General features: G+C 37.5%; 1 protein-coding gene across 1 annotated transcript in view; it reads right to left on the reverse strand.

The window, feature by feature from the left end:
- The window catches only part of SLC24A2 (solute carrier family 24 member 2), an 800,438-nt gene that overhangs the window by 340,585 nt on the left and 445,874 nt on the right, over nt 1-13,979 (reverse strand). The window contains exon 5 of the mRNA XM_017014592.2: nt 1,610-1,748. The gene's annotated coding sequence lies outside the window, so the exon portion shown is untranslated. The remainder of the gene's footprint in view (nt 1-1,609; nt 1,749-13,979) is intronic.

Here is a 13,979-nt window from a genome sequence, read left to right on the forward strand (position 1 = left end):
TGTTACCACAATTCTTGTATGATATCAGACTGTGTCATAATTTCTTGCCTTATTATTTTAACTATTCTGAACAAGTGGATTTTTCTGAATTTAAACATATTCACTAGACAATACTAAACTTGTATAGAAGAGGGGTTTATTTTGTTTTTAGCTTTCACCAACCAAAAATAAGCATTGATTTCTGTTTTGTTTTGTTTTTTAATTTTTACCAACCAAGAGGAAGCACTGATAGAGGAAGAGGTTTAAATTGTAGATTTGCTGAAAATATTACGCTAAACATTGGGTGAGAAAATGAGTGGGTTCAAAGTTTGGCTCTGTTATCTCTTAGCTGTGTTATTACCTGTACAAATTATTTATTTTCCTCTTGGTTCTGTTTCTTCACTTATAAAATAAGCAACAATTTATTATTGGTGTGGAGAATAAATGACACATATAGCAGTGTACGTAACATATTGCATATAAATGATATGTATAGTATATGTAAAGTATTGTGTGTAAATGATATATGGTATTGTATGTAAAGCACTTAGGATGGTCCTAGGCAAGAGTTAGCTATTATTAACATTTTAGAATTATAGAAATGTAATTATATATAATAAGCATTACAAGTGAATAATTTAAAAATTTGCTTCCTAAATATAAGTTAAATGTAATTTCACATAAAGGGTAGTAGGTGAGATAAAAAAATGTAAAAACCTTCTAACCACAAAAGATTGTTCTTCATTATTTAAATGGTTTCACACTTCCTTGTGGTCAATGGAATTATATCCACTCATTTTTGTGTCACCGACTTGACCTGAGCATTTATTAAATAGAAGATGTTCAATAAATGTTGACCTGAAATAATCTGAATTCTAACCAGCTGCTATTCAAAGGCTACATTTATTGAGATCCAAGGATGCCCCAGGCACTGGGGATACAAAGATAAATAAAACGTGGATTCTGCATTCAAGGGAAGCACACCCTAGAGTGGGAGGCAGACATGTAAAGAAACAACTGCATCCCCAGGGAAGTGGCACAAGCGAGAAATGTGTACAGGGCTGGGGGCACTGAGTGGGCAGAGACCCTGGGGAAGGGTGGCTGTCAGAGGAGGTTTTCCCAGTAGTGTGCCATTGCATCTTTACCTTCCCTCTGCTCTGCGTTTGGGGATTAGATAAAGTCAGTGAATGAGGCAAGAAAAAAACAAGCACATATAGGGCCAAATTACTCTTAAGAAAACTCTTAATTGCTCACTAAGAATACATAGAATAAATCCTATGAAGATACACGTCTGTACACTTGTGAAATGTCTCTGATAATGTAAAGCATATAAGTAATATTTTACAGTATTTTAATTGTTAAAATTATTATTTTTCTGAGACACTATTGTTCAACTCAATTTAAAAGTGTAAATGATGAGCTTCTCCTGAAAATAGAAGATAGGGCCTATGTTTTAACAATATTGGCTAATGAAAAGACATTGTACTACTATTACATTTATGACTAGTTTGTGAATGTTTCAATAGAGAAATAAAGCACACTGGGGAAAGAAAAGACATATCTAATTTTAAAAATGAAATGCATTATTGTAAAATAGTTATGAATGTGAGTGAAAATAAAATTTACTCACCAACGTGTAGGCTATAGCCTAGAAATGCGTCTATTTTTTATGCTATAGACTTTCTGTCATGTATCCAACTAAACGTCTCTGTCCTTCTAAGTCTGGAATGTTATGACTCTGAGAAGACATAAATATAGCTGGCACCAACCTAAAATGCAAAGACCAAAACACTGAGATAATATTTTATCAACAATCAAGGATATTTAAAGTGAATGTCTCTGTAATGAATTTAGATATAGAAAGTTCTTTAATGGTCGTTGTGAAATAAAAAGTAAAAAGAACTGATACATGTGAATAACATTTGAAAGGCAGTTAGCACATTTCCAGCAGGCTATTTTTCCAGAAAAGGGGCCAGAAATCTAAATCATAAGAATAAAAACTGCTTTTTTTTTTTTTGTAGGATGAATGTTATGTAGGGCTATGTTTCTGAGTAAAAGCCTGATGCTCAGTTCTTTATAAGAATGCTCTCCTGAAATTATATAAATGCCTGTACACTTATAAAGACCTTAAAATAATTAAAAATAAATTAAGCAGTCATCATAATAGTTAATAATTTTAAATTACATTTAATATGATAAAGTAGCATACAGTATTATTCAATGCTCTCATCTTTATAATTTATAGGTTATACTGCAATAAATGTAAAGTTCAAAGAATTTTTCTAATTTATATTTTGAACATTTTCAAATGCAAGGAAAAGTTCAGGAGTAGAACATTTGAATTGTGTAGTCACCATCTAGATAACAAACTTTTTAAATGTGCAAAGCATATATATATGAGCAATGCTATCTCCTCATAAATATGCATACCTTTTATTTATAGCTTTATTGAGGTATAATTTACATATCATAAAATTTACCCTTTTAAAGTGTACAATTCAATGATTCTTGGCCATTCATAAAGTTGCTCAGTCATCATCAAAATCCAGTTTTAGCACATATCCATTATCCCCCAAAATTTTCTTGAGCAATTTTCAATCTTCCCTCCCATCCCAGCCTTAAGCAACTATGGATCTGTGCTTTGTTTTTATAAATTTGCATGATCTGGATATTTCATATAAATGGAATCATACAATATGTAGTGTTTTATATCTTGCTTCTTCCATTTAATGTAATATTAAGTTTTATCTATTAAAAACATAGCATGTGTCAATATTTCATTTATTATTGCTGAATAGTTTTCCATTATGTGGATATGTCACCTTATGTTTATCTAGTCACCAGCTGATGGATATTTAGATTGTTTCCAGTTTTTGGCTATTATGAACATTCCTGTACAAGTACTCATGTGGGCATATATATATATACATATATATATATATATATATGTATATATATATATATATGTATATATATATATATACACATACATATATATATATATACATATTTTTTTTTTTTTTTTTGAGATGGAGTCTCTTGTTGCTCAGGCTGGAGTGCAATGGCGTGATCTCGGCTCACCACAATCTCTATCTCCTGGGTTCAAGTAATTCTGCTGTGTCAGCCTCCCGAGTAGTTGGGATTGTAGGAGCCCACCACCATGCCAGGCTAGTTTTTGTACTTTTTAGTAGAGATGGGGTTTCACGATGTCGGCTAAGCTGGTCCTGAACTCCTGACCTCAGGTAATCCACCTGCCTCGGCCTTCTAAAGTGCTGGGATTACAGGTGTGAGCTACTGCGCCTGGCCCAGCATATATATGTATTTTAAATTTGAAGTTCCAAAGTACATGTGCAGGATGTGCAGGTTTATTACATAGGTAAATGTGTGCCATGGTGATTTGTTGCACCTGTCAACCCATCACCTAGGTATTACTAGTTATTTGTCCTGATGCTCTCCCATCCCCCACACACTGCTGACAGGCCCCAGTGTGTGTTGCTTCCCTCCCTGTGTCCCTGTGTTCTCATTGTTCAGCTCCCGCTTATAAGTGAGAACCTGTGGTGCTTGGTTTTCTGTTCCTGCATTAGTTTGCTGAGGATAATGGCTTCCACCTCCATCCATGTCCCTGCAAAGGACATGATCTCATTCCTTTTTATGGCTGCATAGTATTCCATGGTGTGTATGTACCACATTTTTAAAAAATCCAGTTAATCATTGGTGGGCTTTGAGGTTGACTCCATGTCTTTGCTATTGTGAATAGTGTTGCAATGAACATACAAGTGCATGTATCTTTATAATAGAATTATTTATATTCCTTTGGGTATATACCCAGTAATGGAATTGCTGGGTCAAATGATATTTCTGGTTCTAAATCTTTGAGGAATCATCACAGTGTCTTCCACAGTGGTTGAACTAACTGACATTCCCACCAATGCTATAAAAGCGTTCCTGTTTCTCTGCAGCCTCACCAGCATCTGTGGTTTCTTGACTTTTTAATAATCACCATTCTGGCTGGCATAAGATAGTATCTCATTGTGGTTTTGATTTGCATTTCTCTAATGATCAGTGACGTTGAGCTTTTTTTCATATGTTTCTTGCCACATAAATGTCTTCTTTTGAGAAGTGTCTATTCATGTCCTTTGCCCACTTTTTAATGGTGTTTTCTTTTTCTTGTAAATTTGTTTAAGTTCCTTGTAGATTCTGGATATCAGACCTCTGTCAGATGAATAGATTACAAAAATTTTCTTCCATTCTGTAGGTTCACTCTGATGATAGTTTCTTTTGCTGCGTAGAAGCTCTTTAGTTTAATTAGATCCCATTTGTCAGTTTTTGCTTTCATTGCAATTGCTTTGGACATTTTTGTCATGAAATCTTTGCCCATGCCTATTTCCTGAATGGCATTGCCTAGATTTTCTTCTAGGGTTTTTATACTTTCGGGTTTTATATTTATGTCTTTAATCCATCTTGAGTTATTTTTTATATAAGGTATAAGGAAGGGGTGCACTTTCAATTTTCTGCATACAGCTAGCCAGCTCTCCCAGAACCATTTATTAAATAGGAAATCCTTTCCCCATTGCTTGTTTTTGTCAGGTTTGTTGAATATCAGATGATTGTAGATGTGTGGTCTTATTTCTGAGTTTTCTATTCTGTTCCATTGGTCTATGTGTCTGTTTTTGTATCAGTACCATGCTGTTTTGGTTACTGTAGCCTGGTAGTACAATGAGGTGAAGTAAAATGATGTCTCCAGCTTTGTTATTTTTGCTTAAGATTGTCTTGGCTATATGAGCTCTTTTTTGGTTCCATATGAATTTTAAAATAGTTTTTTTTCTAATTCTGTGAAGAATGTCAATGGTACTTTAATGGAAATAGCATTTAATCTATAAATTTGGGCAGTATGGTCATTTTCATGATCTTGATTCTTCCTATCCATGAGCATGGAGCGTTTTTCCATTTGTTTGTGTCCTCTCTTATTTCCTTGAGCAATGGTTTGTAGTTCTCCTTGAAGAGGTCCTTCACTTCCCTTGTTAGATGTATTGCTGGGTATTTTATTCTCTTTGTAGCAATTGTGAATAAAAATTCATTAATAATTTGGCCCTCTACTTATCTGTTGTTGGTGTATAGGAATGCTTGTGATTTTTGGTTTTATATCTGAGAACTTGCTGAAGTTGTTTATCAGCTTAAGAAGCTTTTGGGCTGAGATGATGGGGTTTTCTAGATGTAGGTCATGTCATCTGTAAACAGAGACTATTTGACTTTCTCTCTTCTTATTTGAATACCCTTTATTTTTTTCTCTTGCCTGATTGCCCTGGCCAGAACTTCCAATACTATGTTGAATAGGAGTGGTGAGACAGAACGTTCTTATCTTGTGCCGGTTTTCAAGGGCAATGCTTCTAGCTTTTGCTCTTTCAGTATTACACTGGCTGTGGTTTTGTCAAAAATGGCTTTTATTATTTTGAGGTATGTTCCTTCAATACCTAATTTATTGAGAGTTTTTAACATGAAGGGATGTTGAATTTTATCGAAGGACCTTTCTGCATCTATTGAGATAATCATGTGGATATTGTCTTTAGTTATGCTTATGTGATAAATTACATTTGTTTATTTGCATATGTTGAACCAGCCTTGCATCCCAGGAATGAAGCCAACTTGATCATGGTGGATAAGCTTTTTTTATGTGCTGGTGGATTTGATTTGCCAGTATTTTATAGAAGATTTTTGCACCGATGTTCATCAGGGATACTGGCCTGAAGTGTTCTTTGTTGTACCTCTGCCAGGTTTTGGTATCAGGATGATGCTGGTCTCATAAAATGAGTTACGGAGGAGTCTATCCTTTTCAATTGTTTGGAATAGTTTCAGAGGAAATGGTATCAGCTCCTCTTTGTACTTCTTATAGAATTCAGCTGTAAATCCTTCTGGTCCTGGGCTTTTTCTTGTTGGTAGGCTATGTATTACTGCCTCAATTTCAGAACTCATTGGTTTATTCAGGGATTCAGCTTCTTTCTGTTTCAGTCTTGGGAGGGTGTATGTGTCCAGGAATTTATCCACTTCTATATTTTCTAGTTTATGTGCATAGAGGTGTTTATAGTATTCTCTGATGGTTGGTTGTATTTCTGTGGGGTCAGTGGTGATATCCTTTTTTATCATTTATTATTGTGTTGATTTGATTCTTCTCTCTTTTCTTCTTTATCAGTCTAGCTAGCAGTCTATCTATTTGATTAATTTTTTCAAAAAACAGGTTCCTGGATTTGTTGATTTTTTTTGAAGGGTTTTTCATGTCTCTATCTCCTTCAGTTCTTCTCTGAGCTTAGTTATTTCTTGTCTTCCTCTAGCTTTAGAGTTTGTTAGTTCTTGGTTCTCTAGTTGTGATGTTAGGATGTCAATTTGAGATCTTTCTGGCTTTTTTTACATGAGCATTTGGTGCTATAAATTTTCATCTTAACACTGCTTTAGCTATGTCTCAGAGATTCTGGTACATTGTCTCTTTGTTCTCATTAGTTTCAAAGAACTTCTTGATTTCTGCCTTAATTTCATTATTTACCCAGGAGTCATTCAGGAGCAGATTGTTCAATTTCCATGTAGTTGTGTGGTTTTAAGTGAGTTTCTTAATCTTGAGTTCTAATTTTATTGTGCTGTGGTCAGAGAGACTGTTATGATTTTAGTTCTTTTGCATTTGCTGAGGAATGTTTTACTTCCAATTATGTGATCAATTTTAGAGTAAGTGCCATGTGGTGCTGAAAAAATATATATTCTGTCATTTTTGGGTGGAGAGTTCTGTAGATGTCTATCAGGTCCACTTGATCCAGAGCTGAGCTCAAGTCCTGAATATCTTTGTTAATTTTTTGTCTTAATGATCTGTCTAATATTGACAGTGGGGTGTTAAAGTCTCCCACTATTATTGTGTGTGAGTCTGAGTCTCTTTGCAGGTCTCTAAGAACTTGTTTTATGAATCTGAGTGCTCCTGTATTGGTGTATATATATTTAGGATAATAAGCTCTTCTTGTTGAATTGAACCCTTTACCATTATGTAATGCCCTCCTTTGTCTTTTTTAATCTTTGTTGGTTTAAAGTCTGTTTTGTCAGAAACTAAGATCATGACCTCTGCTTTTTTCTGCTTTCCATTTGCTTGGCAAATTTCCCTCTATCTCTTTATTTTGAGCCTATGGGTGTCTTTGCACATAAGATGGGTCTCTTGAATACAGCGCACTGATGGGTCTTGACTCTTTATCCAGCTTGCCATTCTTTATCTTTTAATTGGGGAATTTAGCCCACTTATATTTAAGGTTAATATTTTTATGTGTGAATTTGATCCTGTCATCATAATGCTAGCTGGTTATTTTGCAGACTTGTTAATGTAGTTGCTTCATAGTGTCATTGGTCTGTGTACTTGAGTGTGTTTTGTGGTGGTTGATAATGGTTTTTCCTTTCCATATTTAGTGCTTCCTTCAGGAGCTCTTGCAAGGCAGGCCTGGTTATGACAAATTCCCTCAGCATTTGCTTGTCTGAAAAGGATTTTATTTTTCCTTCGCTTATGAAGCTTAGTTTGGCCAGATATGAAATTCTGGGTTGGAAATTCTTTTCTTCAAGAATGTTGAACGTTGGTCCCCAATCTCTTCTGGCTTGTAGGGTTTCTGCTGAGAGGTCTGCTGTTAGTCTGATGGGCTTCCTTTTGTAGGTGTCCTGCCTTTCTCTCTGGCTGCCCTTAACACTTTTTCCTTCATTTCAACCATGGAGAATCTGATAATGTGTCTTGGGGTTGATCTTCTCATGGAGTATTTTACCAGGATTCTCTGGAATTCCTGAATTTGAATGTTAGCCTGTCTTGCTGGGTTGGGGAAGTTCTCCTGGATAATATCTTGAAGTATGTTTTTAAACTTGGTTCCATTCTCCCTGTCTTTTTCAGGTACCCTGATCAGTCATAGGTTTGGTCTTTTTACATAATCTCATAGTTCTTGGAGGTTTTGTTTGTTCCTTTTCATTTTTTTTCTCTAGTCTCGTTTGCCTGTTTTATTTCAGAAAGATAGTCAAGCTCTGAGATTCTTTCCTCTGTTTGGTCTATGTGGCTATCAATACTTGTGGTTGCATTGTGAAGTTCTTGTGTTGTGTTTTTCAGCTCCATCAGGTCATTTATGTTCCTCTCTAAACTGGTTATTCTGGTTGACAGCTCTTGTAATGTTTTATCATGGTTCTTAGCTTCTTTGCATTGGGTTAAAACATATTCCTTTAGCTCAGTGAAGTTCATTATTACCCACCTTCTGAAGCCTACTTCTGTCAGTTCATGCATCTTAACCTCAGCCCAGTTCTGTGCCTTTGTTGGAGAGGAGTTACGATCATTTGGAGAAGAAGAGGCACTCTGGCTTTTTGAGTTTTTAGCAATTTTGTGTTGATTTTTTTTCTCATCTTCATGAGCTTATCTACCTTCGAACTTTGAGGCTGCTGACCTTTGGATGGGGTTTTTGTGGGGTCTTTTTTGTTTATGTTGTTGTTGTTGCTGTTTATCTGTTTTTATTTTAACAGGTAAGACCCTCTTCCATAGGGTTTCTGTGGTTTTCTGAGGGTCCACTCCAGACCCTATTCATCTGGGTCCCTCTTGCACTGGGAGGTGTCACCAGTGGAGGCTGCAGAATAGCAAAGATGACTGCTTGTTCCTTCCTCTGGGAGCTCTGTCCCAGAGGGGCACTGACCTGATGCTGGTGGAAATGCTCCTGTATAAGGTGTCTGGCAGTGCCTGTTGGAGGGTCCCACCCAGTCATAAGGCACTGGATCCAGGATCTGCTTAACAAAGCGCTCTGGCTGCCCCATGGTGGATCGGTTGCGCTGCACTGCACTGGGGAGAAATCCCCCTCATCTGGACAAATCCCCCTTATCTGGACTGCTTGGCCTCTTCAGAGCCAGCAGGCAGGAAAGACTAAGTCCACTGAGCCACAGAGACCACCACCGCCATGTGGGCATATTTAAACATTTCTTTTAGGGTTGGGGAGTAAAATTGCTGGGTTGTATTTTAACTTTATTGTTAAACATGGATTTATTATCTTACAGTTGTGGAAGTACAAAGTTGAAAAATCAATCTCACTGGGCTAATGTTAAGGTGGTGGTAGAACTAGTTTCTTCTGGAGGCTGTCAGGAGAGAATCTATTTCTCCGCCTAGAAGATGAAGCTGAAAATCTTCTAGAGTTTACTTATATTCCTTGGTTTGTGTCCACTTCTTTGCATCATTCCCAACTTTGGCTTCCATTATTACATCTCCTATTACTGACTTTGACCCTCCTAACTTTCTCTTCTAAGGACCCTGTGGTTACAGTGGGCCTAGCAAGGTAATCTAGGACAATCATCTTCCCATCCCCAAATCCTCAATTACATCTACAAAGTTATTTTTATCATGTTAAGTAACAAATCTCCAGGTTCTGCAGATTAGATATGAACATCTTTTGAGGGCCATTATTCAGTCTATCACAACAATATTCAGTCTTCCAATTCATAAACATAGGTTGCATTTGTATGTATTTAAATCTTCTTTAATTTTTCTCAGCAATATTTTTTAGTTTACAGATACAAATTATGCACATATTTGTTAAATGTATTCATAATTATTTTACTCTTTTTGAAGCTATTATAAATGGAAATGATTTATTAATTTAATTTTCAGATTGTTGCTAGTGTATGGAAATGCAATTGGGTTTTAAATATTGATTCTGTATCCTGAAACCTTGCTAAACTAACATTACTTCAGTAGGTTTTTTTTTTTTTTGGTGTGCAGATTTATCAGAATTTAGGATTTTCTAATTACAGACAGACTCATATCATCTGTGGATAAAGAGTACTATTTCGTCCTTTGCAGTCTGGGTACTGTTGCTATATTTTTCCTCATTTCACTAGCTAGAACCTCCTGTATAACATTAAAATGGCCATACTGCCCAAAGGAATGTGCATATTCAATGCTATTCCTATCAAACTACTAATGACATTCTTCTGAGAATTAGAAAAAAATCTGTTTTAAAATTCATGCAGAACCAAAAAAGAGCCTGAATAGCCAAGGCAATCCTAAGCCAAAGGAGCAAAGCTGGAGATATCATGTTACCTCACTTCCAACTATACTACAAGGCTACAGTAATCAAAACAGCATGTTACTGGTACAAAAACAGACACGTAGACCAATGGAACAGAATGGAGAGCCCAGAAATAATGCCACACACACACAGCCATCTAATCTTTGACAAAGTAGACAAAAGCAAGCAGTGGGGAAAGGACTACATATTCAACAAATGGTGCTGGAATAATTGGCTAGCCATATGAAAGATATTGGAATTGGACTCCTTTCTTACACCATACACAAAAATTAACTCAAGAAAGATTAAAGACCTAAATATAAAACTTAAAGCTCTAAAAACTCTGGAAGAAACCTAGGAAATACCATTGTAGACATAGGAATGGGCAAGATTTCATGACCAAGATGCCAAAAGCAATTGCAACAAAAACAAAATTGGCAAATGGAACCTAATTAAAGAGTTTCTTTACAGCAAAATAAACTGTCAACTGAATAAACAGACAACCTACAGAATGGGAGAAAATATCTGCAAAGTATGCATCTGATAAAGGTCTAATATCTAGAAGATTCATTTAAGGAACTTAAATGAATTTATAAGCAAAAATCAAACAGCCCCATTAAAGAGCAGGCAAATGACATGAACAGATAATTTTCAAAGAAGACATACATGTGGCCAGGAAACCTATGAAAAATGGTCAACAGGACTAATTTTTAGTGAAATGCAAATCAAAACCACAATGAGAGACCATCTCACTAGTCAAAATCAGTATTATTAAAAAGTCAAAAAATAGCAGATGCTGGCAAGATTGTGGAGAAAAAGGAATGCTTATGCACTGCTGGTAGGAATTAAAATTAATTCAGCAATTGTGGATATCAGTGTGGCAATTCCTTAAAGAAATTAAAACAGAACTTCCATTTGACCCAGAAATTTCATTATTGGGTATATACACAAAGGAATATAAATCATTCTACCATAAAGACACATGCATACATGTTCATTGCAGCACTAGTCATAATAATAAAGACAAGAAATCAACCTAGATGCCCACCAATGGTAGACTGGATAAAGAAAATGTGGTACATATATGTCATGGAATACTATGCAGCCATATAAAAGAATGAGATCATATTCTTTGCAGAAACATGGATGGAACTGGAGGCCATTATCTTAAGCAAAATAACACAGGAACAGAAAAATAAATACTGAATGTTCTCACTTTTAAGTAGGACCTAACAATGAGGACACATGGACACAAAGAGGGGAACAATAGACACTGGGGATTACTTGAGGGTGGATGATGGGAAAAGGGAGAAGATTAAAAAACTACCTATTGAGCACTATGCTTATTACCTGGGGGACAAAATAATCTGTACATCAAACCCCCAAGACATGCAGTTTACCTATGCAACAAACGTGCACGTGTATCCCTGAACCTAAAATAAATGTTAAAAATAAAAGATGAGGGGTAGAGCAAGATGATAAAATAAAAGGCTCTGCCAATTCCCCTTGCCCCCTGCAAGCACACCAAATAAACAACTATCTACATGCACAATAAATCACCTTGTAAGAACCAAAAATCAGGTGAGCACTCACAATACCTGGTTTTAATTTCATATTACCAAAAGAGACACTGAAGAGGTACAAAAAACAGTCTGAAATCAAGGACATCACCCATTTCTCATCCCCTTGCAGTGGCAGCATTGTGAGGAGGGTGTTTCTGTGCTCTGGGGAGTGTGAGAGCCAGCAACTGTAAGACATTAAACTTAGTGCTGCCCTTGTTATAGCAGGAAGCAAAACCAGACCAAACTCAGCTGATGCCCACATAAGGAGGGTGCATTTAAACCAGCCCTAGCCAGAGAGGAATTGCTCATCCCAGCATCAGAACTTAAGTTCCTACAAGCCTTGACACCATGGGCTAAAGTGCTCTGGGTTATCAAATAAACTTAAAACATAGTCTAGGACACAAAGACTACAACTCCTAGGCAGTCCTAGGACTGAACTGAGCCCAGAGACAATGGACTGGGGGAGCATGTGACCTACTGAGACACCAGCCAGGGTGGCTAAGGGAGTACTGACATCATCCCTCCCCTAACCCTAAGTTGCACAGCTCATGGCTCAAAAAGAGACCCCTTCCTTTGCCTGAGGAGAGGAGATGAAAGAGTGGGGAGGACTTTATTTTACATCTTGGATACCAGTTCAGCCACAGCAGGATAAGGCAACAGTCACAGTCATGAGACCCTTTTTCCAGGCCCTATCTCCCAGACATTTCTAGACACACCCTAGACCAGAAGGGAACCTGCTGCCTTGAAGGCAAGAACCCAGTCCTGGCAGGATTAATCACCTAACTGAAGAGCTCTTGGCCTCTGACTAACCAGCAGTGATACTCAAGTACGATGTTGAGGGCCTTGGTAAGACACTGAGACTTGATGGGTTCAGGTGAGACTCAGCACATTCCCAGCTGTGGTGGCTATGGGTCAAGATTCTTTCTGCTTGAGAAAAGTGGAGGGGAAAGTAAATAAAACTTTATCTTGCACCTTAGGAACCAGCTCAGCTACAGGGCGATAGAGCACCAAGTAGCCATTAGAGTTCTTGATTCCAGGACTTGGCTCTTGCATGGAATTTTTGGACCTGCCCTGGGCCAGAGGGGAGCACAGTCCCCGATGGGTGAGTCCTAGACCAGGAGGCATTCATGACAAGCTAACTGAAGAGCCCTTGGGCCTTAAGAGAACATTGGCAGTTGTCTGGCAATATTCATCGTGGGCCCGAGGTGGCAGTGGCCTGAAGGTGAGACTTTTCTGCCTTTGGAAAGGGGAGAGAAGAGTGGGAAGAACCGTGTCTTGTGGTTTGAGTGCCATCTCAGAAGCAGTACAATAGAATACCAGGTGGACTTCTAAGGTTTTTGACTCTAGCCTGGATGGCACCTCTGGACCCACCCAGGGCCTAGAGGAACTTGACGCCCTGAAGGGAAGGAGATAGGCCTGGCTGGCTTTGCCACCTCCTGATTATAGAGCCCCAGGGCTTTTAGCATACATAACTGGTAGCCAGGGAGGGATTACAGCAGGGCTTGGGTAAGACCCAGTGCTGTGTTGGCTTTATGTGTGATCCAGTACACTCCTAGGGATGGTGGCTACAGGGGGTGCTTGTGTCACTCCACCCTCAGCTCCAGGTGGCTCAGAGCAGAAAAAGAGATTCCATTTGTTTGGGAAAAAGTAAGAGAAGAAAACAAAAGTCTCTGTCTGGTAATTCAAAGAATTCTTCCAGATCTTGTATAAGACCATCAAGGCAGTACCTCTACAAGTCTGCAAGAACCACAGCACTACTGGGCTTGGGGTCCACCCTAAATCAGATACAGCTTACATCCTAATGCCCAAGTCCTTTCAAATATCTAGAAAGCCTTCCCAAGAAGGATGGGCACAAAAAACCTAGACTGTAAAGACTACAATAAATACCTAACACTTCAATCCCCAGACACAGATGAACATCTACAAAGATGATCCAGGAAAACATGACCTCATTAGATGAACTAAATAATGCACCATGGATCAATCCCAGAGAAAGAGAGATATGTCACCTTTCAGACAGATAACTCAAAATAGCTTTCTTGAGGAAACTCAAAGAAATTCAAGATAACACAGAGAAGGGATTCAGAATTCTATCAGATACACTTAACAAAGAAATTGAAATAATTAAAAGGAATCAAACAGAAATTCTGGAGTTGAAAAATGCAGTTGGCATACTGAAGAATGCATCAGAGTCTTTTAATAGCAGAATTAATCAAGCAGAAGAAAGAACTAGTGAACTTGTTGAAGACAGGCTATTTAAAAATACAGAGTCAGAGGAAACAAAAGAAAAAAAGAATAAAAACCAATGAAGCATGTCTACGGGATCTAGAGAATAGCTTCAAAAGGGCAAATTGAAGAGTTATTGGCCTTTGAGAGGAGGTAGAGAAAGAGACAAGGG

This window comes from Homo sapiens, chromosome 9 (assembly GCF_000001405.40).
Source record: "Homo sapiens chromosome 9, GRCh38.p14 Primary Assembly".
NCBI classification, from domain to species: domain Eukaryota; kingdom Metazoa; phylum Chordata; class Mammalia; order Primates; family Hominidae; genus Homo; species Homo sapiens.